Source organism: Homo sapiens, chromosome 17, assembly GCF_000001405.40.
Source record: "Homo sapiens chromosome 17, GRCh38.p14 Primary Assembly".
NCBI lineage: Eukaryota > Metazoa > Chordata > Mammalia > Primates > Hominidae > Homo > Homo sapiens.
The window spans coordinates 80,073,363-80,098,740 of NC_000017.11; the positions used below are offsets into that span (position 1 = coordinate 80,073,363).

Here is a 25,378-nt window from a genome sequence, read left to right on the forward strand (position 1 = left end):
GCTCACTTCCTGCCTCTGCACCACATGTTGGTCGTTCTCATAATATTTCAAACTTTTTCATTGTCATCGTCCGTTATGGTGATCTGTGATGAGTGACCTTTGATGTTAACTATTGTAATTGGTTTTTGGCAAAGCCACGAACTGCCCTTGTTTAAGACAGCAAACTGAATCAAGACATGTCGTGTGTGTACTGACTGCTCGCCGGCTGGCGTTCTTCCATTTCTGTCCCTCTCCTTGGGCCTCCCTATTCTCCAAGACTCAACAGTATTGAAATTAGGCCTACAATGGCCACTAAGTGCTCAAGTGAAAGGAAGAGTCTCATGCCTCTCACTTTATTTTTATTTTATTTATTTATTTTTGAGACACTCTGTCCCCCAGGCTGGAGGGCAGTGGCACGATCTTGGCTCATTGCAACCTCTACCTCCCGGGTTCAAGCGATTCTCCTGCCCCAGCCTCCCGAGTGGCTGAGATTGCAGGTGCCTGCCACCGTGCCCGGCTAATTTTTGTATGTTAGTAGAGACAGGGTTTCACCATGTTGGTCTCGAACTCCTGACGTCAAATGATCTGCCTGCCTCGGCCTCCCAAAGTGCCGGGATTACAAGTGTGAGCCAACGCTCCTGGCCGCCTCTCACTTTAAATCAAAAGTTAGAAATGATTAAGCTTCATGAGGAAGGCATGTCAAAAGCTGAGATAAGCCAAAAGCTAGGCCTCTTGCACCAAAGGGATAGCCAAGTTGTGAACACAAAGGAAAAGTTTTTGAAGAAAATTTAAAGTGCTGCTCTAATGAACACACAAAAGAAAGGGAAGCAGCCTAATTGCGCGTCTGGAGAAAGTTCAGGTGGTATGGACAGAAGATCAAACCTTCCGGCCGGGCGCGGTGGCTCACGCCTGTAATCCCAGCACTTTGGAAGGCCCAGGCAGGCGGATCACGAGGTCAGGAGATCAAGACCATCCTGGCTAACACGGTGAAACCCCGTCTCTACTAAAAATACAAAAAGTTATCCAGGCATGGCGGCAGGTGCTGAGGCAGGAGAATCACTTGAACCCAGGAGGCGGAGGTTGCAGTGAGCCGAGATCGCGCCACTGCACTCCAGCCTGGGCAACAGAGCGAGACTCTGTCTCAAAAAAGAGAATGCACCTGGTGGGCATGCTAGCTCAAGTAATCTCAGCACTTTGGGAGGGCAAGGTGAGAGAATTGCTTGAGGCCAGGAGTTCTAGACCAGCCTGGGCAACATAGCAAGAGCCTGTCTCTAAAACCGAAAAAAGGAAAGAAAGAAAATGTACCTGGTCACCCAAGAGTTTTGATGGAGCTGGAGCTGTGCAAGATGAATGTTGTTTCCACACCTGTAACACAGCATTTATTCTGCAACCCATGGGTTGAGGAGTAATTTCAACTTTCAAGTCTTACTATTGCAGTAATACAGTCTGTAAAGCTATAGCTGTCATAGATAGTGATTACTCTGATGGATCTGAGCAAAGTAAGTTGAAAACCTTCTGGAACAGACTCACCATTCTAGATAACGTTAAGGATATTCGTGATTCATGAGAGGAGGTCAAAATATTACTCTTGGTTTTTTTGAGGTGGAGTCTTGCTCTGTTGCCCGGGCTGGAGTGCTATGGTACGATCTTGGCTCACTGCAGCCTCTGCCTCCCGGATTCCAGTAATTCTCTTGCCTCAGACTTCTGAGTAGCTAGGATTACAGGTCCTTACCACCACACCTGGCTAATTTTTTATATTTTTAGTAGAGATGGGGTTTCAACCGTGTTGGCCAGGCTGGTCTTGAACTCCTAACCTCAAGTGATATGCTCACCTCAGCCTCCCAAAGTGCTGGGATTACAGGCATGAGCCACCTCAGCCTCCCAAAGTGCTGGGATTACAGGCATGAGCCACCGTGCCTGGCCCAAAATATTACTTTTTTTTTTTTTTTTTTTGAGGTGGAGCTTCTCTTTTGTCGCCCAGGCTGGAGTGCAGTGGCACGATCTCAGCTCACTGAAAACTCCACCTCCCAGGTTCAAGCAATTCTCCTGCCTTAGTCTCCCAAGTGGCTAAGATTAGAGGCACCTGCCACTACGCCCAACTAATTTTATTTTTTTAAGGTTGGAATTGCTTTTATTGGGGACAGATGTGCAAGTCCCCGCTCATGGTCAGGTTAGTGTTCTGCCCTTGCAGAGGTGCCAGCAGCCTGACACCTCCATCTGCCGCCCGCCCCGGGTTAGTGGAACATGCAAAGCTCAGAGGGTGGAGGCAGGGGTGGTCGCTGCTGAAGCCAGACGTCCAGCTAATTTTTGTATTTTTAGTAGAGACGGGTTTTCACCATGTTAGCTAGGCTGGTCTCGAACTCCTGACCTCAGGTGATCTGCCTGCCTCGGCCTCCCAAAGTGCTGAGATTACAGGCCTGAGCCACTGCGCCCGGCCCCAAAATATCACCTTTAATGGCAAAACTGCAATTACTTTTGCACCAACCTAATATCAACATTAACAGAAGTTGATTGTAACGCCTGTGGATGGCTTTGAGGGCTCAGGACTTCAGCGCAGAAAGTCACTCCCGATGTGGTGGAAACAAGAACTAGAATGAGAAGTGGAGCTGAGATGGGATGGAATTGCTGTGTTCATATGATCAAACTTTAATGGATGAGGAGTTGCTTCTTACGGATGAGCGTTTTCTTGAGGTGGAATCTGCTCCTGTGAAGATGCCATGCGCATTGTTGAAATTAACAAAGAATTTAGAATATTCCATAAACTTGGTTGATGAGGCAGCAGCAGGGTTTGAGAGGACTGACTCCAATTTTGCAAGAAGGTCTTGCGTGGGTAAAATCCTATCAAACAGCATCACATACTACAGAGAAATCTTTCATAAAAGAAGAGTCGATCCATGTGGCAATGGATGTGGCAGGAAGAGTCAATCCATTGTCTTATTTTAAGATTGCCGTCCAGGTGGGGTGACTCACACCTGTAATCCCAACACTTTGGGAGGCCAAGGCAGGCAGATGACCTGAGCTCAGGAGTTTGAGACCAGCCTGGGCAACATGGTGAGACCTCATTTCTACAAAAAATACAAAAATTAGCCAGGTGTGGTGGTGTGCACTTGTAGTCCCAGGTACTCGAGAGGCTGAGGGAGGTGGTGGCTTGAGCCTAGGAGGCTGAATTTGCAATAAGCCAAGATCACACCACTGCACTCCGGCCTGGGTGACAGAGCCAGAGTCAGAGCCTGTCTCAAAAAAAAAAAAAAAAAATTGCCACAGCCACCCCAGCCTTCAGCAACCACCACCCTCATCAGTCAGCAGCCAGCAACATCAATGCAAGACCCTCTACCAGCATACTTTATCAAGTATGACTTGATAAACACTTAGGTGATTGTTAGCATTTTTTAGCAATAAAGTTTGTTTTTTTTTTCTTTTTTAAAATAGAGTCTCATTCCATTACCCAGGCTGGAGTGCAGTGGTGTGATCTCAGCTCATTGCAACCTCTGCCTCTTGGGTTCAAGGGATTCTCCTATCTCAGCCTCCTCAGTAGCTGGGATTACAGGTGCCCACCACGACACCTGGTATTTTTAGTAGAAATAGGGTTTCACCATGTTGGCCAGGCTGGTCTCGAATTTCTGACCTCAGGTAATCTGCCTGCCTCAGCCTCTCTAAGTGCTGGGATTACAGGTGTGGACCACCACGCCCAGCCTAAAGTAAGTACATTCTTTAGACATGATGCTATTGCACGCTTGATAGACTACAGTAAAGTATGCACCTTCTGTATGCACTGGGGAACCAAAAAAGATTGTGTGACTTGCTTTACTGTGATACTTGCTTAATTGCGGTGGCCTGCAACTGAACCTGCAGTATCTCCAAGGTTCCGGCTCAACATACATTTTACTTTATAACAAATGCTTGCCGGCCGTGGTGGCTCACACCTGTAATCCCAGCACTTTGGGAGGCTGAGGCGGATCACTTGAGCTCAAGAGTTTGAGACCAGCCTGGGCAGCATGGCAAAACCCCATCTCTACCCAAAAATACCAAAAATTAGCTGGGTATGGTGGTGCATGCCTGTAATCCCAGCTACTTGGGTGGCTGAGGCAGGAGAATCCCTTGAGCCTGGTAGGTGGAGGTTGCAGTGAGCCGAGATTGCGCCATTGCACTCCAGCCTGGGTGACAGAGCGAGACTCCGTCTCAAAAATAAACAATAAAACAGCTGCTGCGGTGTTTTCCCAAGTGACTGGTTCCAATTTGCATTTTCTCCAGCAATTTATGAGAGTCCCAGTTGTTCCACATCCTCGCCAACATTTGGTATTATCAGTCATCTAATTTTAGCCATCAAATATAGCCATTAGCAAATGTGTGGTGCATCGCCTTGCGGTCTGAGCCTGCGTGTCCCTAATGACTAGCGATGGTGAGCATCTCTTCCCCGGCTTATTCGCTATTCCTGTGCCTTCTCTGGTGAAGCAACTTCTGCTCATTTTTCCGCTGAGTGGCTTATCATTGAGTTGTAAGAGTTCTTCATATCTTCTGGAGACATCTTTTATCAGACGTGTGCTTTGAAAATATTTTTGTCCCAGTCTGTGGCTTTGTCTTTTTTACCTCTTTACAGTGTCTTTTGAAGAGCAAAAGTTTTAAATTTTTGTGAAGTCCAACTTATTAAATATTTTCTTTCCTGATTCATGCTTTTTATGTCTTCTCTAAGAAATCTCTAAGGGTCAGGCCGGGCACAGTGTGGCTCATGCCTCTAATCCCAGCACTTTGGGAGGCCAAGGTGGGCGGATCACGAGGTCAGGAGATTGAGACCATCCTGGCTAACACGGTGAAACCCCATCTCTACTAAAAATACAAAAAATTAGCCGGGCGTGGTGGCGGGCGCCTGTAGTCCCAGCTACTTGGGAGGGTGAGGCAGGAGAATGGCATGAACCTGGGAGGCGGAGCTTGCAGGGAGCCAAGATCACGCCACTGCACTCCAGCCTGGGCAACAGAGCGAGACTCTGTCTCAAAAAAAAAAAAAAAAAAAGGAAAGAAAAAGAAATGTCTAAGGGTCACGAAGATTTTCTCCCAAGTTTTCCACTAAAGTTTTCCAGGTCTCGCTTTTAGGCATCTGGTCCATTTCAAGTTCACGTTTGTTGTGGTATGAGCGGGGTCCAGGCTCAGGTTTTGTGTGTCTCTCTCTAGTTGTCCCAGCACCACTTGTTGAAAAGACTGTCCTTTCCGTATTGAAATCCTGTGACACCTTTGTCAAAGATCAATGTATTGTGTGTGTGTGTCTGTTTCCAGACTCTCTATTCTGTTCCGTTGATCTTTTTGTCATTCTTTCACCAATACCACATTGTCTTTCTAACTAGAGCTTTATGGAAAATCTTGAAATCAGATAGTCTGAGTCTTTGATGTTGTTTTACAAAATTATTTTGGTTACTCTAGGTCCTTTAGGTTTCCATTTAAATTTTAAAACTTGCTTGTCAATTTCTGGGGAAAAAATGCCTTCTGGGATGTAACTGAAATTACATTGAATCCATAGATCAGTTTGAAGAGAATTGAGGCCTTAATAATATTAAATCTTCTGCTTCATGGACATGGCAAATCTCTCCAGTATCAGTATCTTTTTTTTTTTTTTTTTTTGAGTCAGAGTCTTGCTCTATCACCTGGGCTGGAGTGCAGCGGAACAATCTCAGCTTACTGCAACATCCGCCTCCTGGGTTCAAGTGATTCTCATGCCTCAGTGTACCAAGTAGCTGTGAACACAGCCACACACCACCACGCCCGGCTAATTTTTTTTGTATTTTTAGTAGAGATGGGGTTTTGTCATGTGGGCCAGGCTTCCTTTCTCTATTGATAGTGTCTTATCCTTTGAATAAGTTTTTATTCAAATAGTCAGAAAGTACTTTCTTCTTGGACTAGAATAATACCTTCCATATTTTTCTCACATCTCTCCCCAGTCTTTCAATTCTCTTTCCCAAGCAACCTGTTACTGTTTCATAAAGGTCTTTCCAGATAGATTTCGTTCATACATATGCATTATTCTCGGGTGTTTATCTCTCCACTTAAAAATCACCCGCGGCCGCTTAGTGTGTCCCGCTCTGCAGCTTGGTGTTTCTTGTGCTGTGTCTTAGAGTTATTCCATGTCAGAACACATAGAAATCACCGTTGTTCTTTGCAGTTCTCTTCACACTGTGTTCTAAATGATGCCTGTGCCATAATTTAATCATCCTCATCGATCCATAATGAGGCCCTTTCCTGTTTTTTGGCTTTTTCTGATCTCATCAGTGGATCAATAAATATCCACACACATTAAAAATAGATACTGGATCACCAGGCACGGTGGCTCATGCCTGTAATCCCATCACTTTGGGAAGCTGAGGCAGGTGGATCACTTGAGGTCAGGAGTTCGAGACCAGCCTGGCCAACAGGGCGAAACCCTGTCTCTACTAAAAATACAAAAAAAAAAAAAAATAGGCAGGCATGGTGGCACACGCCTGTGGTCCCAGCTACTCAGGCAGCTGAGGCATGAGAATCGCTTGAACCCAGGAGGTTGCAGTCAGCCGAGATCGCGCCACTGTACTCCAGCCTGAGTGGCAGAGCGAGACTCTGTCTCAAAAAAAAAAATACTGGATGGCCAGGCGCAGTGGCCCACACCTGTAATTCCAACACTTTGGGAGGCCGAGGCAGGTGGATCACTTGAGGTCAGGAGTTCAAGACCAGCCTGGCCAACATGGTGAAACCCCATCTCTACAAAAATACAAAAATTAGCTGGGCATGGTGGCACACACCTGTAATCCCAGCTACTTGAGTGGCTTGAGGCTGCAGTGAGCTGAGATCATGCCATTGCACTCTAGCCTGGGTAACAGAGTGAGAGACTGTCTCAAAAAAAAAAAAAGAAAGAAAGGAATGAAAGGAATGTTTAAAGTACCGCAGAACATCTCAGAATAATAGGAAAACATGCCTCACACACACAAAATTCAAATCCTCATGCTGAGGCGTAAGAATGACTTGAACCCAGGAGGCAGAGGTTGCAGTGAGGCAAGATCGTGCCTCTGCACTCCAACAAATACAGGATTTGAATCTGATTATTTCATTTGAATCAGTATTTTAGATCTGATTATCCGATATCTGTGTTTTAGAGCTTGACGTTAATTACAGGTATCTCATCGCAGCATGCCGAGGGGAAAGACAATAGAATTTGAAGTGGGCCCACTGGTGTTCCCTCAGCCACGCTGTTTCCTGCAGACCTTGGGCTAGTGATTGAAATGCTCTGAGTCTCAATGGCCACATCTGTAAAGCTGGACTATTTCCTTCCTAGGATTATTGTCATGGTTAAGGAAGGTGGGCAGATGAGAACCCCTAGCCCAACGTCTGACCCATGCGTCACTTTCCTTCTCCCCATAATCACAGTACAAAAGAGTTGTCAACTTGGGCTTTCAATAGATAATAGTTCTCTTGATCTATTTGAAAATAATAGTCAAGATTTGGCTATTGGCTGCAAAAATACAGTGAGGGAGAAGGAACAAGGCCCAGTGTTCAATAGCATGTCACAGTGACTACAGTTCACGGTAAGTTAGTGTATATTTCTGAATAGCTAGAGGAAAAGATTTGGAATGTTCTCAACACGAAGGAAGGATCATGTGTGAGGTGATAGATGGCCGGTTCCCCTGATTTGATCATGACATGCTGTATGCTTGTGTCAAAATATCGCATGTACCTCTCAAATATGTGCCAATCTATCCATAAAAATTTTTTAAAGATTTGGCTGCTATTAAAAGAGTTGGTTTCCTGCTGGGTGCAGCGGCTCACACCTGTAATCCCAGCACTTTGGGAGGCCAAGGCAGGCACATTGCTTGAGCTCAGGAGTTGGAGACCAGCCTGGGCAACACGGTGAAACCCCATCTCTACAAATAGAGTTTAAAAATTAGCCGGGCATGGTGGCGCACACCTGTAATCCCAGCCACTCAAGAGGTTGAGGCATGAGACTCGCTTGAACCCGGCAGGCGGAGGTTGCAGTGAACCGAGATCGCACCACTGTATTTCAGCCTGGGTTACAGAGTGAGACTCTGTCTCAAAAAATAAATAAATAAATAAATAAATAAGAGTTGGCTTCCTAATTTATTTCTCTGTGCATTGAGTTCGCCTTAGTGAGCTCCCTCGTGTGGGGCGCAGCTCTGTGCACTGGCTCTCTGATGTCTCACACGTAACTGGCTCTCCCCGCTGCATTTCTACAGAGGATGCCAGCATCAAGCCAAATCCACCGACGGCGAGATTGAGGCCTATAAGAAATCCATCATGAAGGAGGAAGAAAAGAACGAGAAGCTGGCGAGCATCCTGAACCGGACAGAGACGGAAGCCACACTGCTGCAGAAGCTCACCACCCAGTGCCTGACCAAGCAGGTGGCCCTGCAGAGCCAGTTCAATACCTACAGGCTCACCCTGCAGGACACAGAGGATGCCCTCAGCCAGGACCAGCTGGTGAGGCCGGGCCCGCCCCACAGGTCACACCTGGCGCACGGTGGTGCCTCTTCAGGCACGTGCACCCTGTGGCTCCTTGTCTCCAGGAACAAATGATACTCACGGAGGAGTTGCAGGCCATCCGCCAAGCCATCCAGGGCGAGCTGGAGCTCAGGAGGAAGACGGATGCTGCCATCCGGGAGAAGCTGCAGGAGCACATGACCTCCAACAAGACCACCAAATACTTCAACCAGCTCATCCTGAGGCTGCAGAAGGAGAAGACCAACATGGTAGGCCCCTGCCCCAGGGAGGGGCTGTGCGAAGCCCCCTGCAGCCTGGGCATATGAGGGCAAGCCGTCCTGGAGGCGGAGAGGGCGGAGTCAGTGTGAGCAGAGGGCCCTCCTGTGCTCACTCCTTTCCATGGTGTTCAGGTTGTAAGGGTGATACATTTTTACTGTAGAAAACCTAGAAATAGGCCAGGCGTGAGCCACCGCATGGCCAGCTGCCAGCCAAAGGCTGATTTCCCTGGGGGGACCTGGAGTGTGACTTCGACGTCCATGGCAGGGAACCCCCAATTGTGAGCTCATGTTCGCATCCCCTGGGATCTTGCTTTATCCTTTATCACCTGTGGTGGGGGTGGAGGGGACTTGTGTCCTTAGAAAAAACAATTCCTTACTTGAATTGTTTTTTCTTTGCCTCTTCCCGAGGGGTGACCGCCTCCCCAACACCCCGCCTCAAGCAGGCCCCTTTGGAGGACCCCCAGAGGCTACCACAGGCTCCACCATTTCCAGAGCACATCCTAGCAGTGGGGCCTGCCCAACAGTCCCCATTTTAGTCTCAGAGGAGGGTGACAGATTCCCGATGCCAAGCTCTGCCGGTTTTGCCCTCCTGAGGGGTGGGAAAGGAGCTGGCCAGGCAGAGCTGAAGGGCGTGGTGGGTGTGAAGGAGCCCATCCAGCCGTGCTGCTACCAGCCAAGTCCAGTTCCCAATCCCCAGGCCCCCGGGCCCCCGCCGAGCCCCTGTCTGGGCAGCCCGATAGGTCATACGTGTTTTGCTGCCAGTTTCCAGAAGAGGGCAGCAAAGAGTCTTGGACCAACACATTCGTCTATTACGACAATTTTCCAACCGATGCCAGTCCAGCTGCTGAAAAGAGTACCCCCGACACGATGTTTGAACTGCTCAAAGCCTCATGGGCTGATAGAAGGTGGGGTGGGGAGGCATATCTGGGAGGAGGAGCAAAGTGTGGATGGGCGGGACCACCCATCCGGAGCTGGGGTCAACCACGGGGTCCAGGCAGTTAATCCAGGGATGGTGTAGATGCCTAGGGGGAGCCAGGGTGGGCTCCACAGAGACCACAAACAGCCAGGAGTGGAGCGGGGGTGCAGGCCCGGCTGTGACGGGGAGGGACTGAAGGGGACTTGGAGCCATAGCCCCTGCAGGGCAGTTGGGGAGGGGGGAGGCAGGGAGTCCTTGGGGGGCCCAGATCTCAGGGTGAACTTGGCAGAGGAGGAGGCTGCGAGCTGACATTGCCACACAACTCCAGATGCCGGAAGCTTCCACTCCAGGTGGGCAGGGTCTGGGTTCCACCACCTGGGGACATTGGGTCTCCTGGGAAGCCGCCCGTGGTGGCCAGTGAGAGACATGGAGCCCACAGGCGTGGCGGGAGGAGAAGCTCAGATGGCCCTGAGGAGGCTGGGGTAGGCAGGAGCCACAGTCGTGAGAGAGCCAAGGCCTTGTGTGGCAGGAGCCGACGGGCAGGGGTGCTCAGGGCAGACACAGGGCCCGAGGCCACCTGTTAGAACCATGCCCTGGGGAAGAGGACCCTGTCCTGGTGGTGACAGCATCTCCCTGTTCCCAGAGCAGCTTTGGCCACACCATTGCAGCTGTGACTGCCACTGCCTCACTCCTGATTATCACAAACGTCCTCTCGATAAACCCCCCGTTGCCAGAAGGGATCCAAAGTCTGTCTAATGCCTCCAAAGAGCCCACAGAGGAGGCCAGCACTGGCGGCTCAGACCTGCCGGACAGCAGGAGGGGTCAGAACGCATGGAGGAACCAGTGTCTAACAATTGCTTCTTGCTTCATAAACTATGCTGCAAATGTGATAGAGTACAGCACAGCCATTACAGCTTACAGAGCACAGGAACATAAGACCCGACTTACCAGATTAAAAAGCAGGTTAGCACCCAGTGTGTAGGGTGTGATCCTATTTTTATTTTGGAGAATTATATAGAAAAGACTGGGAGGAAAAATGGATTCAGATGGGAATGGTAGCTAACTTGTGTCAGAATTGCAGGCAATTGAATGTGTTCTCTGTCCTGGCCTGTATTTTCACATTTCCTCACAATGTGTGTGCTACGATTTAAGAAGTGTGTTAGTCTGATCTCACACTGCTGTAGGAAATACCTAAGACTGGATAACTGATAAAGGAAAGAGGTTTAATTGACTGACAGTTCTGCATGGCTGGGGAGGCCTCAGGAAACTTACAATCATGGCAAAAGGCGAAACAGGCACCTCCTTCACAAGGCAGCAGGAGAGAGAGTGTGTGTGAAGCAGGAACCGTCAAACACACAAAACCATCAGATCTCATGAGAACTCACTATCATGAGAACAGCATGGGGGTAGCGGCCCCCATGGTCCAGTCACCTCCCACAGGGGCCCTCCCTTGACATGTGGGATTATGGGGACACAATTCAAGATGAGATGTGAGTGGGGACACAGCCAAACCACATCAATAAGAAAAGCTAATACCATGATCTCTCTTTTCTGTAAAAAGCCAACATCTGGGTTCCAACAAGTAGGTCCCTTGCTGGGTCCTGGAGACAGTGGGAAATCCAGCCTCCTGCACTCGTGACTGTGCGTTTGGAATATCTCCAGAGGAACATCCCGACCGTCAGGGAACGGTGGATCAGCAAACTCGTCCCGGGCCTTGGGTGGGGGCAATATTCACAGGTATTTCTTTTCATCAATTCAGATGACACATCTTTCCAAAATCAACGGTGACATTGCCCAGACCACCCTGGACATCACACACACCAGCAGCAGGCTGGACGCACACCAGAAGACCCTGGTGGAGCTGGACCAGGACGTGAAGAAAGTCAACGAGCTCATCACCAACAGCCAGAGCGAGATCTCCCGGCGCACGATCCTGATCGAGAGGAAGCAAGGGCTCATCAACTTCCTCAACAAGCAGCTGGAGCGGATGGTCTCCGAGCTGGGGGTGAGGTCCCAGGCAGGGAGACGTGGTCCCCGGCTGACTGTGGTGCCTGGTGGGGCAGAGCCCCCTCAGATCCCCCACGGTCAGACATGAACTCCTGGAAGGCACAGAACTGCCTCTTTCCCTACCTGCTTTACAGACAAAATGGCACGTGTGCCAAGCGCTCTAAGTCACATTTTTCTGCACAAGGCCAGAGAGTATTCCGGCTTTGTGGCCAGTTGGTCTCTCTGGCAGTGACACGGCTCTGCCTCCATAGCGAGAAGGAGCATAGGTAAAACGTAAAGGAATGGGCACGGCTGTGTCCAATCAGATGTTATTCAAGGCCACTGAAGTCTGAATTCCAAATAATTTTCACCCAGCACGAAATATTCTGCTGCTCTAAGAAAAGTGGCCTAATGCGTTTGAGGCCTGATGCCATATACGTCATCCAGGTCCCTGTACTCTCAAAGCCCCTTTGGGTTCCAGAGGCCCCACCCACCCTGCCAGCGCACCCACCATGGGGAAGCTAGAGGGGGCTCCAGAGCCCCTTAGCCATATTTCCTCCAGCGGGGTCTGTGGCTTGCGGCCCTGCTGAGAGCTAACTTGAGCCCCTCGGCCTTCGTCCAGTTTCATGACCTCAGGGTTCCAGGCCCTCTGCAGCCCACTCACAAAGACCTTTGAGCCCAAGAAGGCTAATTTTGCTTTTTTTTTTTTTTTTTTTTTCTGAGACGGAGTCTTGCTCTATTGCCCAGGCTGGAGTGCAGTGGTGCCATCTTGCTCACTGCACATCTGCCTCCTGAGTTCAAGCGATTCTCCTGCCTCAGCCTTCCAAGTAGCTGGGACCACAGGTGTGCACCAGCACACCTGGCTAATTTTTGTATTTTGGGTAGAGACGGGGTTTCACCCTGTTGGCCAGGCTGGTCTTGAACTCCTGACCTCGGGTGATCCACCCGCCTCAGCCTCCCAAAGTGCTGGAATTACAGGCGTGAGTCACTGCGCCCAGCCCTAATTTTGCTTTTTGATGAATATCCGGTCTAGGGGGAAGAAGTGGGGCCCCTGGAGCTTGAAATCAAAAGGCTGAGCAAGCTGATCGACGAGCACGATGGCAAGGCGGTCCAGGCCCAGGTGACCTGGCTGCGCCTGCAGCAGGAGATGGTCAAGGTGACACAGGAGCAGGAGGAGCAGCTGGCCTCCCTGGACGCATCCAAGAAGGAGCTCCACATCATGGAGCAGAAGAAACTACGAGTAGAAAGTAAGAGCCGCCGTGCCCGGCCCTGCAGTGATGCTGAGACGAGCTCTGGGACGTGGGCACCTCCCAGGGGAGGGGCACTCAGTGGGGCACGTCGCTGGATTTGCACGCAGCCTTAAAAGCAAATAACAAACGCGCATGCTCCCTGTATTTTGTAAATGTGAACCACTGCCTGCCCAGCTGCCCAGTTCGCAGTCACAGCGGGAGGGTTGAGAAATGTCACGAAATGGCTCCAAGCTCACGGACTTCAGAGCTCTCCTTGAGAGAGGAGCATGGAAGGTTATCATCCCCGCCAAGCCAGGGCACTCAGGTGGAAACACTGGCACGGGAAAAGCCAGGGTCCTGCCAGGCAGGCTCCTGGTGCTGTCCCCACATCACCTCCAGTTGGGCTTAGAAAACCATTCCACCGGGGCTCCCCAACCCTTCTGAGGCCCAAGGGGCTGCCAAAGCACCAGGGTGCCTGGAATGATGGAGGCGGGCATCCTTCCTGGACCACTCTCCACCCACATGTCCACCTGCCGAGACATCCCGGGTCCTGCCCGGTCTTGGGTCGGGGATCCATGCTGGTCAGGCCTGCAGCAGAGCCCCCATGGGAAATGCTGCCCAGACACATCATGTGCCCTTCTCGGAGGTCCTGCTGCCTCTCGCCCTGCCCTTCTTGGGTTGCCCAAACCCGTCTGTTGGTGAGTAGCAAGTCCCAAAAGACCCTATGGAGCTGTCAGCTGAGTATCGGTGTCCCAAGGCAAGAGCTGCCGAAATACCATGCTGTGAGATGGGGAGGATCACCCATGGAGAGGGCAGAGAGAGGGGCTCACATGCCCATGTCCTGGGGTAGTCAGGGCACACCATGGGGACAGCAGGAGGAGCTGGAGAAGCCCTGTGAGGAGTGGCCAGCGGATGAACCAGCTGTGGCCTCTTGTGCCCTCCACCCATCTTAACATCAAGAAGAGCTGTTGTTTTCTGCCCCTACCCCTGAGCTTGGCTGGGGCAGGGCAGGGGTCTAAGGGCCTCCCTCTCCTGGAGACTCACAGTGTCTGAGCATCAACCAGGTCCCGGTGCTCCACAGATTTGCAAGTGTCTGGGGGAGGGAGCCTGGCCCTCCCACACGCCCTGCCCACACCTGCTGGCTGTCCCCACAGGCAGGTCCTCTCAGTTCCGTTGGAGGACCAGGCTTTGGGAGCTTAGCAGCCAAAAAGAGACCCCCTGTCCTCTCCTCTCCTCTGTCCTGGCAGGGACGAGATTCAGGCAGGAGCGCCAGGAACGACAAGAGGGAGGGGATGAAGGGAGCTACAGGGAGAGACAAAACCTGGCTCACCTCTCGGACACTGCTGCCTGCGGGCGAGGACCCGTACCCTCCTGGGGTCTCTCCCTGAGTCTCTGTTTTCTGCCATAGGCAAGATTGAGCAGGAGAAGAAGGAGCAGAAGGAGATCGAGCACCACATGAAGGACCTGGACAACGACCTGAAGAAGCTCAACATGTTGATGAATAAAAACCGGTGCAGCTCGGAGGAGCTGGAGCAGAACAACCGGGTGACAGAGAATGAGTTCGTGCGCTCGCTGAAGGTCCGGCCGTGTCCACGCAGTCCCGGGGCTCAGGACGATGGAGGGCGGGGGTACGGTCCTTGCGGTGGGCGTTCTGCACCAGGATGTAATTTCCACACCCGTTCAAGATGCTTGTAGGGGTATTAGAAATCCAGCCTGCAGCCCTGCCCTCGGTGCCGGGATAGAGGGCACCAGCCCCGGCATCCACAATCCCATGGCCCTCCCCACAGCTGTCCCGCCCCCTCCCCCATGCAGGCCTCTGAGAGGGAGACCATCAAGATGCAGGACAAGCTGAACCAGCTCAGCGAGGAGAAGGCGACCCTCCTGAATCAACTGGTGGAAGCAGAGTGAGTCCCAGTCTCCAGCCACACGTGGGTCATGAAGGTCACTGCACCTACAGGCCTCTGTCCGTTGAAGACCATGTAGGAGGCCAGGTGTGGCAGCTCACACCCATATCCCAGTGCTTTGGTCATTTTTTGTTGTTGTTTTGTTTTTTGTTTTGTTTTGTTTTGTTTTTAGACAGTCTTGCTCTATCCCACAGGCTGGAGTGCAGCCGTGCGATCTCAGCTCACTGCAACCTCTGCCTCCCAGCTTCAAGTGATTTTCCTGCCTCAACCTCCTGAGTAGCTGGGATTACAGGTGCCCGCCACCATGCCTCACTAATTTTTGTATTTTTAGTAGAGATGGGGTTTCACCCTGTTGGCCAGGCTGGTCTTGAACTCCTGATCTCAGGTGATCTGCCCACCTCAGCCTCCCAAAGCGCTGGGATTACATTCATGAGCCACCGTGCCCAGCAATCCCAGTGCTTTGGGATGCCAAGGCAGGAGGCTCCTTTGGGGCCAGGAGTTCAAGACAAGACGGGGCAACACAGTGAGACCCCATATCTACAAAAATGTTTTAAATTGGCCAGGCATGGTGGTGCATGCCGGTAGTCCCAGCTACTCGGGAGGCTGAGGTGGGAGGATCGCTTGAGCCCAGGAGGTCAAGGCTGCAGTGAGCTAGGATTGCACCACTGCACTCCAGCCTGGGCGACAGAGCGAGACCCTGTCTCTAAAAGAAGAAAAAGACCACCTGGGCATGGGTCTGGAACCCACCCTAGTGGATCCCAGATTCCCCACAGAGTCTGTCTACCCCCCTTGGTGGCAGTTCTTGAGCCAAACGAGTTACTGCTAGAAATTGAAGGGTTTCCTTTGTGATAAAGTTTTTAAGTATCCATTATTTTATGGTGTCTGATTATTAAAGTAACACACACCCAGCTCTAAACATTTTAAACTATACAATGCGTGCAAAGTACCCAGGGAAAATTGCATATAATTCCAACGCCCTTCACTTCCCAGAAAACCAATGTGTAGCTATATTCCTTTCTTGTTTTGCTCTGTTTTTTACACAAATGGGATTGTTTCAGAAGTTCCCCCTTGAAGCACTTTAGTATTTTCATGGCCATCTTTCCGTGTCACACACGTGGGCCCATATCTCCCTGTGGAAAGGGTGCGGAGCAGGCGTGGTGTGGAGGCACCGTCCTTTCTTCAGCGTGCTCCGGAAGGGATGAATAGCGCAGGGATCGCCTGTTCCTTGCGGTTTGATAGAATCTAGGCAAAAAATTATCTGGGACCAATGCTTTGGGGGGCTTGTATCTTTGGTGACATTTAAATAGCTTTTAGACTATTGGTGTATTCAGGCTTTTTACTTTTTCTTAAGTCAGCTTCTATCAATTATACTGACTTTCTCAGCTCCTACAGTTATATATCCCTGTTCTCTCTCTCTCTGTCTCTCTGTTTCTTCCCCACCCCCATCTCCCTCCCTCCCCCTGTATGCCAGAGGTTGGCAAACGTTTGCATAAGGAGCCCAGTAGTGAACACTTCAGGCTTTGAGAGCCTCACGCTTTCTGTCGCAGCTGCTTGGCTCTGCCATTGCAGCTTGAGAGCCTTGTAAAGCCTTAGAGTGTGAGCTCACCGAAGCATCAGAAGAAAACTCCTAATTTCTTACACTGCCTCTCCTACCTCTAAAGACACCAGATTATGCTTTGGGAGAAAAAAATCCAACTGGCAAAAGAGATGCGTTCCTCAGTGGATTCCGAGATCGGCCAGACGGAGATCCGGGCCATGAAGGGCGAGATCCACAGGATGAAGGTGAGGGGAGGAGAGCGGCGTGGCAGGGCCTGCTGGGTGCCAGCCCTTGGGCTCTGGAGACCTGGCCACACCAAGGCCTCGGCTCTCCCGGGGCTCCTGTGGGAACCACACTGGCCACATTGGCTGGTGGCAATGGGTGAGATTTCCAGGGAGCGACCCGCTCCAGCAGAGTGACCTGCACTCCAGCCGAGCACTGGCAAAGCGCACGTCCCCCTTGACCCAGCTTTTACCACACGCTTGCTTTTAATGTGCAGAAATATTGCAGAACAACACAGGACGCACACAGGCACGTGCACGAACAACACGGGACGCACGCAGGCACGTGCACGAAGAACACGGGACGCGCGCAGGCACGTGCACGAACAACACGGGACGCGCGCGGGCACGTGCACGAACAACACGGGACGCGCGCAGGCACGTGCACGAACAACACGGGACGCGCGCAGGCACGTGCACGAACAAGGGACGCGCGCAGGCACGTGCACGAACACAGGACACACACAGCACGTGCATGAACAACACAGGACACACACAGCACGTGCATGAACAACACAGGACACACACAAGCACGTGCATGAACAACACAGGACACACACAAGCACGTGCATGTCATCTCACAAAACGCTGTTTTATTCCTACTCCATGTAATCACAGCACGCTGGTATTTTTAAATGCCGGTTGTAACCCTCAAACTTTGTGACCCTCTAACGTATCCCACTGTGAGACAGTCTCACACCACAGAAGGGCTCAGAGAGCACCCCCATCTCATCCTTCACAGCCGCGTTGTCTCTCCATGGTCACAATTAGATTTCATTGCCTTTAAAAGGCTGGTAATTAAATTGCAAGTGGTCATCAAGCTAAAGGTTCAGGGCCTTAAGGATAACAGTAAGAGCAGTTCATAAAATAAATGGGCCTCACTTTCACCATGCCATGCTAAATAGAAATTCCTCTGCTGAGTTATTTTTCAGATCAAGTGCATATGCTAATAAGATGTTGTGTTTAAAAATACCAAATTTAATTGACTTTTCATATTACAGAAGCCACATGTATTTGCTGGAGCAAGACAAGCTCTCCTCCACAGAGTGGGGGCCAAAGAGAAGGTCCGGGCTGCTCCTCCCTGTCCCTTCTTCCCCGGCTCCCCCTCCTCAGCCAGGGCGACTGTGTCAGCCGCTGCAGGGATAAGGCCTCTCACCTTCTCGGATCTCACACAAATGCACAGGCAGGGCTTGCCTTGGCCCTACATGGTTACTAACCCATTCTTTAACAGTTACAATATATACTATGGATATTTCACAATTTATTGATCCAGTCCCAGGTTGGTGAAAATTCAGGTTGTTTCCAATTTGTTGTTGGTGTTATTGTTTTGTCCTAGACACAATGTGTGTTAGGGTTCTCCAAAGAAACAGAACCAGTAGACTACACACACACACACACACACACACACACACACACACACACAGAGAGAGAGAGAGAGAAAGAAAGAGAGATTTACTATGAGAATTGGCTCTTATGATTATGAGGGCCGAGAAGTCCTAGTATCCGGCATCTAATCTGCAGACCCAGGAGAGCCCATGATTCAGTCAAGTCTAAGACCTGAGAAGGAGGCAACGGTGTCATCCCAGCCCAGTGTTCCCCCACCCCCACCCCGTCCCACCACCTTCTTCTGCCTTTTCTCCTCAGGCCCTCAACAGATTGGATGATGTCACCCAGCCTGGCAAGAGGGATCTTTACTCTGTTCAAATGCCAATCATTTCCAGGGACACCCTCACAGTTCTACCCAAAACAGAAATCATGTTTTTCCAGCTATCCAGGCATTCCTTAGCCCAGTTAGGTTAACCCAAAATCAGCCATCACACAGCATTATAATCACATCCTTCCTTACTGGTTCTTTTTTTTTTCTTCTAGACTATGTTCCCAAAGGTGAGATTACTAGGTCAAAGGGTGTATAAATTCTGACTGTAACAGCCTGACAGATTACTTGTCTAAAAAGCACATGGCGGCAGTCATATCTGTACCTTCTTCTCAGTTCTGGTGTTATTTATCTATCTTTTTTTTTTTTTAATTGAGGTTTTTCAGCTGAGTGGAAGCTCACAGCTTAGGGCATTCAGCCCTATAAGGATTTTCTGGGTTTTTTTGTTTTGTTTTGTCTGTTTGTTTTTTGTTTTGTCTTTGAGACAGACTCTCTGTCATTCAGGCTGGAGTGAAGTGGTGGGATCTCGGCTCGCTGCAACCTCCGCCTCCCAAGTTCAAGCGATTCTCCTGCTTCAGCTTCCCAAGTAGCTGGGATTACAGGTGTGTGCCACCATGCCTGGCTAATTTTTTTGTATTTTCAGTAGAGACGGGGTTTCGCCATTTTGCCTAGGCTGGTCTCAAACTTCTGAGCTCAGGCAATTCGCCCACCTCAGCCTCCCAAAGTGCTGGGATTACAGGTGTGAGCCACTGTGCCCAGCCAGCCCTACAAGTTTTGATAGAGACGTACAATCATGTAGCCACTGCCACATCATGATATATTTCCTCATCCTCGAATTCCCTCATGCCCTCTGTAGTCAGCTCACCGCATACCCCAGCCGCCATGACAGCCACCAGTCTCTCTCCATGCCTGTCGTTTTGGCTTTTCCAGAATGTCACATAAATGGATCAAATAGGGTGAGACATATTGAGCCTGACTTTCCTTGCTTAGCCTCATGCATTTGAGATTCTTCTGTGTGGTGAAGCCCAATTACCCAGTCTGTTCTCTTTTTTTAGAGACAGGGTTTCGCTCTGTCACCCGGGCTGGAGTGCAGTGGTGCAATCATGGCTCACTGCAGCCTTGACCTTGTGGGCTCAAAGGATCCTCCTGCCTGGGCCTCCCAAAGTGCTGGGATTACGGGCACACACCACGGCACCCACCCCTCAGTCTGTTCTTTCATGGATCGTTTCAGTAGCTTATCTGAGGAGCCTCTGCCTAGCTGAAGGTCACGAAGAGCTTCTCTTCTGTTTTCTTCTAGAAGCTTCCTGCTTTTAGGTTTTACATTTAGGTCCATAATGTATTTTGAGTTAATTTTTGTGTATGGTGCAAGTTGTGGACTGGGGTTAATTTTTTTTGCATTTGGATGTCCACTGGAGTCAGCCCTGCTTGCTTCCTGAAAAGACTGCCCTTCCTCCACCGAACTACCGTCCAGTCCTTGTTGAAATCAGCTGACACGTTTGTGTGGGTTCGTTTCTGGGCTGTTTTGTTCTACTGATTTCTGTTTCTGTCCCTTCACCAATGCCCTGCTGTCTTGATTTCTGTAACTCTATACTTACGAAATTCCTCCGACTTCCTTTTTTTTTAAGACAGAGTCTTGCTCTGTTGTCCAGACTGGAGTGCAGTGGCACTCACATCTCAGCTCGCTGCAACTTCCACCTCCTGGGTTCGAGCAATTCTCCTGCCTCAGCCTCCTGAGTAGCTGAGACTACAGGCATGTGCCACCACACCCAGCTAATTTTTTGTATTTTTAGTAGAGATGGGGTTTCACCATGTTGGCCAGGCTGGCCTTGAACTCCTGATCTCAGATGATCCACCTGCCTCGGCCTCCCAAAGTGCTGGGATTACAGGTGTGAGCCACTGTGCCCGGCCAGCTGATTTTAATATTAGGCTGTTTTCTTATTTCTCTTTTTTTTTTTTTTGAAACAGTCTCGCTCTGTTGCCCAGGCTAGAGAGCAGTGGCACGATCTCAGCTCACTGCAACCTCTGCCTCCCGGGGTTCAAGTGATTCTCCCGCCTCAGCCTCCTGAGTAGCTGAGATTACAGGCGTGCACCACTATGCCTGGCTAATTTTTGTATTTTTGGTAGAGACGGGATTTCACCATGTTGGCCAGGTTGGTCTCAAACTCCTGAGCTCAGGTGATCCACCGGTTTCGGCCTCCCAAAGTGCTGGGATTACAGGCGTGAGCCACCGCACCCGGCCTGTTTTCTTATTTCTTAACATTTTTTAGGAGTTCCTTATACATTCGGTTATTAACCCCTGTCTTCAATACCTATTAAAATAGTGGCTCTGACCTATCATTGTCTTTGCCCTCTGTTTAGGGGGTCTTTTGCCACACAGACTTTTTAGTGTTTCTTAGTGTGGCTCCAAGTCACTTTATGGTACATTTTAAACCTGAGTAAGCTTGGTCTCCCTTCACCCTGCTTATCTTCGGGATTCTTGCCTGTTTTTTCTTTTAAATCAACTTTAGGCATAACTTTCATAAGATAAAATATGCTTATTTTAAACGCAGAGTTTGGGCTGGGTGCGGTGGCTCACGCCTGTAATCCTAGCACTTTGGGAGGCCGAGGCGGGTGGATCACTTGAGGTCAGTTCAAAACCAGCCTGGCCACCACGGTGAAACCCTGTCTCTACTGAAAAAAAAAAAAAAAATAGCCAGGCGTGGTGGCAGGTGCCTGTAATCCTAACTACTTGGGAGGCTGAGGCAGGAGAATTGCTTGAATCTGGGAGGTGGAAGTTGCGGTGAGACGAGATTGTGCCATCGCACTCCAGCCTGGGCAACAGAAGGAGACTGTGTCTCAAAAAATTTTTTTTATAAAAAGGCTGGGTGCAGTGGCTTATGCCTGCAATCCCAGCTTTGGGAGGCCAAGGTGGGCGGATCGAGACCATCTTGGCCAACATGGTGAAACCCCATCTCTACTAAAAATACAAAAATTAGCCAGGCCTGGGGGCAGATACCTGTAATCCTAGCTACTCAGGAGGCTGAGGCAGAAGAATCACTTGAACCCGGGAGGCGAAGGTTGCAGTGAGCCTAGATGGCTCCACTGCACTCCAGCCTGGTGACAGAGCAAGACTCCGTCTCAAAAAATTTTTAAAAAAGCACAGTTTGGTGGGTTCTAACACGCGCACACATCTACGTAGCCACTGACGCCATCAAGACATAGAACCTTTCTATGACTCCAGAAAGTTCCTGTGCACCCCCGCAGCCAATCCTCACGCTACAACCCAGTCCCCAGCCCCAGGTCCTCCACCCAAGCCAAGGTGCATTGTCACAACTAAGAAATTAACCTTCATGCAATACTGCTAACCAAACTACAAACTCTAATCAGATTTCACCAATTTTCTCAATGAGATTTTTTTCTGCTGCAGGATCTGACCCTGGCTTAGTTGCTTTTAGTTCTCACATCTCCTTGGTGGCCTCAGGTCTCGGCCATTTCTCCACCTTGCACTGTCTGCCTGTGGATTCCGGGTTCCCACCCAGGGCTGCTGCCTCCATGTCCCTTGTTCCTCCTGGCGGCACAGGCCTCACTGTTTCCCCGCCGATCCCCATGCGTGTCACCGGAGGATGAGCGAGGCCAGCGCCCCGGCCACTCTCTCTGCAGCTGCAGCTCAGGCCTGCCCCAGCCCCAGCCCCTCTGTCCTGTCTCCCAGGTCAGGCTCGGGCAGCTGCTGAAGCAGCAGGAGAAGATGATCCGTGCCATGGAGTTGGCGGTTGCCCGCAGAGAGACCGTCACCACCCAGGCCGAGGGGCAGCGCAAGATGGACAGGAAGGCGCTCACCCGCACCGACTTCCACCACAAGCAGCTTGAGCTGCGCCGGAAAATCAGGGACGTTCGCAAGGTAGGGAGCAGCGGAAAGGAAACAGGGCGCCTGCTCCTCTCTCTGGGATTCAAGGAACACTCCAGGAAGGCGTCTTGCTGGGTCCGGGGTGAGGATGCAGAGGCTGCAGTGGGGGCGTGCTCAGCACTGCTAACCTGCTGCTGGGTGCTGGGTCTGGGGTGAGGATGCAGAGAGACCATCCCCAGTTCTGCTAACCTGCTGCTGGGTTCGGGGTCAGGGGTGAGGATCCAGAGGCTGTTAGAGGGGCGTGCTCAGCACTGCTAACCTGCTGCTGCTACGGGGCCTGTCTGGGAGACTGCAGAATGCCCGCACCGGACAGAGCTGCTGACACCCAGAGACGGCCGTGTTTCAGCCCCTCCCTGCATATCGGAGGTGGCATTGGGAAGGCATAGAGTTCTGGGGAAGAGGCCAGCTCATGCTGGGGAGCCCGAGTGGGCACCGGGGACCAGCTGATGGGAGCGGGGTGGGCGCCTCGAGAGCCTGCATCCGCATACCCCAGGCCATGTCCACTGGGCCTGCACTGGGAGGGCCCAGCTGGTGCTGTCCGGTGCTTACCACCTCAACGGTTGCCAGCCAGGGGCCCTGCACTCACACTTCCCAGGTTGGCCCCACAGCCCCGCTGACCCGCTGTGTGACCTCGGAGTATGTGGGCCTTGCCAGACCTGCAGGGCCTCGTCTGCTGGGGGGTGGAGGGGCAGAGTTAAATGTGACAGCAACCACAGCCGTGGGTGGGGAGGTGGCCTTGGGGACAGCTGACAGCATGGCTTGGAGCCACGCTGGACCATTCCTGACTGGGGCATACGGTCTGACCTCCCAGAGCCTTGGTTTACTGACCTGTGAAATGGGTGCCCACCTCTCAGAGTCACCCAGAGGGTTCCCTGGAGAGTGCTGAAGTCATCCCTGTAGGGAAAGGCTAGCCAAAAATGGCAGACATGCATGGGCTGCTCATTTGGAAGTAACTGGAAGTTTCTGGAGAGAGGCGGCAGAGTGGCCTCTTCTCAGTCCTTTTCCACTACATTGGCTACTCCTGATGTCCATCCCTCCCTCAGCTTCCTAGCCCGGCCCCTGACCACTCCTTGCTGCCCTGGGCACCCCCTGAGTCCCCTGCCAGGACCCCATGCCCACCCCTCACCTCCTGTCTGCTCCAAGCCACACTCAAGTTCTCCAGCCCCAGGCCCTGCGCCCCACACGACGCCATCACTGATGGGTCCTTGTCCTCACCCCTGCCAGCCCCACCCCAAAGATCTTCCGTGTCCCCAGCCAGCCCTGAGAGTCACTGTGTCTCCTGCATCACCCCCTGGACCATGTCAGCTGCCAAACACTGCCTGCCCGGCTTTTCTTTCTCTTAATTGTGCTGCTTTCCCCGAAGGCGGAACGAACACCACACAGATGGCCCCAGCCTCGCTCCTCCCTCAGCAGAGGCCCCCACCCTCCTCTCTCCCAGGCTCCCCAGCCTGCCTCTCGGCCCTTACAGCCTCAGCCCTGCCCTTGGCACACGGCTGCTGAACTGTGCCAGTCTCCTGCCTGGGGACAGACCCACTGCACGGGGAGCCCCAGAACCACTCAGGCCCCCATCTCTCTGCCACACCTGCCTTAAAGGAGCAGTGTGCAGTGTGGGCTGGCTGGGCCTGGCATCTCCCAGGCCTCGCCTCTCCAGCCCTCCCATTCCTCTTTGGGAGCCTCCCTGGATGGAGTGTGTGGAAGGTGCCTGGCAGGTCCTCCCAGCCTGACTCTTCCCTGTCCGCCAAGTAGCCGGGCTGCAGGGGCCCAGCATGGTCCTGTGATTCTCCTAGGCCACCGATGAGTGCACCAAAACCGTCCTGGAACTGGAAGAAACACAAAGAAATGTGAGCAGCTCCCTCCTAGAGAAGCAGGAAAAGCTGTCGGTGATTCAGGCAGACTTCGACACACTCGAGGCCGACCTCACCCGGCTTGGGGCCCTCAAACGACAGGTAAACGTGTCCCAGGAGGTCCCTGGGGATGACGGCCATGGAACATGCCACTCACACAGAGGTCCTGCGTCCCCTCTGTGCGAGTCACGGCCTCTCCTGATCAGGTCACGGCCTCTCCTGATCCCAGGCCAGTAATAGCACCACCGGCTGCTCACATGTTTGTGGCTTTGTGATTTGTTCCACTGACAAATGTTGATGGAGTATCTGTTATGGGCTGGGCTCATGTTCAGCGTGCGAGGGTTACAAAATAGAACACAAAAAACAAACATTCCTGTGCTCTTAGAGGTTACCTCCTGGGGCAGGAGGACAGATGATGAGCAAAATAATTTTAAAAGATACAGTGTGTTGTAGCTAGGCATGGTGGTACACACCTGTGGTGCCAGCTACTCAGGAGGCTGAGGTGGGAGGATCGCTTGAGCCTGGGAGGTCGAGACTGCAGTGAGCCAAGGTTGTACCACTGCACTCCAGCCTGGGTGACAGAGGGAGATCCTGTCTCAAAAAGAAAAGAAAAGAAAAGAAAAGAAAAGAAAAGAAAAGAAAAGAAAAGAAAAAGGGAAATGGTGTGTTAGGTGGTGGTAAATGCTTTGAAGGAAGATAAACCAGAGAAAGAAGCGTCAGGGTCATTGGGGTGAACTGAGGGATTGACATTTTGAGTTAGGGTGATGCGGGAAGGCCCTGCGGAGCAGACATTGGAGTCCAGACCTGAAGGAGGGGACAGCCCACAAAACCACCCCAGGTGGACAGGACAGCCCGGCAAGGCAGAAGCCTGAGACTGCGCAAGGGCTACTAGAGGCCAGTGGGGCAGGCTGGGGAGGTTAGGGTATGTAAGACCCAGGCAGAGAGGGGCGGCCCAGACTGTGTGCGGCCTTAGGGAGAGCACAATCATGACTTTGGACTTTTCTCTTGGGGAGGTGGGCACACAGAGGAGGGCGTTGGGTCTGAGAGGTGACTTGGGCTTTAGCGGGCTCCCGCGCGCTCTAAGATTGCATGTGGATGAAGCATGGATGCGGGGGGCACCTGGGGCTATTTGCAGTGCTTCAGGGCGGCCCCTGTGGGGCTGGCGAGAAGCCATCAGGCTCTGCATATGCGTTATGCCAACATCGCCCGATGGGATTCCTGCTGGGTTGGCTGTGGTGTGAGCAGAGACGGAGGTGGAGAATGGCTCCAAGGTTCTGGCCTGGCCAACTGAGATGATGAGGGGAACGTGCCTGGCACTGGGCCTGACACACGGCAGGTGTCAAGAAGGTTGCCTAAGCCGGGCACGGTGGCTCATGCCTGTAATCCCAGCACTTTGGGAGGCCGCAGCAGGTGGATCACTTGAGGTCAGGAGTTCGAGA

The 25,378-nt window shown here is 51.7% G+C and overlaps 1 protein-coding gene across 2 annotated transcripts in view, besides 2 other annotated features; it reads left to right on the top strand.

Annotated features, from left to right (window-relative positions):
- CCDC40 (coiled-coil domain 40 molecular ruler complex subunit) overlaps window positions 1-25,378 on the top strand; it is a 63,972-nt gene that overhangs the window by 36,721 nt on the left and 1,873 nt on the right. Inside the window, exons 11-19 of one of the 2 annotated variants that reach the window (NM_017950.4) lie at window positions 8,184-8,427; window positions 8,514-8,696; window positions 11,381-11,626; window positions 12,641-12,854; window positions 14,245-14,414; window positions 14,649-14,740; window positions 16,402-16,522; window positions 21,901-22,089; window positions 23,883-24,041. In NM_017950.4, coding sequence (NP_060420.2) covers window positions 8,184-8,427; window positions 8,514-8,696; window positions 11,381-11,626; window positions 12,641-12,854; window positions 14,245-14,414; window positions 14,649-14,740; window positions 16,402-16,522; window positions 21,901-22,089; window positions 23,883-24,041 — 1,618 coding nt within the window. Of the gene's footprint in view, window positions 1-8,183; window positions 8,428-8,513; window positions 8,697-11,380; window positions 11,627-12,640; window positions 12,855-14,244; window positions 14,415-14,648; window positions 14,741-16,401; window positions 16,523-16,776; window positions 17,467-21,900; window positions 22,090-23,882; window positions 24,042-25,378 lie in introns of those variants that run through there. The other variant, NM_001243342.2, reaches the window with a different exon arrangement.
- Window positions 9,094-9,595: an enhancer, noted in NCBI's record as "H3K4me1 hESC enhancer chr17:78056255-78056756 (GRCh37/hg19 assembly coordinates)". NCBI's record gives its function as "activates a minimal SCP1, AML or CMV promoter by ChIP-STARR-seq in naive H9 embryonic stem cells {active_cell/tissue: H9 hESC(naive)}" and the evidence as "EXISTENCE:reporter gene assay evidence [ECO:0000049][PMID:30033119]".
- Window positions 16,860-17,419: an enhancer, noted in NCBI's record as "H3K27ac-H3K4me1 hESC enhancer chr17:78064021-78064580 (GRCh37/hg19 assembly coordinates)". NCBI's record gives its function as "activates a minimal SCP1, AML or CMV promoter by ChIP-STARR-seq in primed H9 embryonic stem cells {active_cell/tissue: H9 hESC(primed)}" and the evidence as "EXISTENCE:reporter gene assay evidence [ECO:0000049][PMID:30033119]".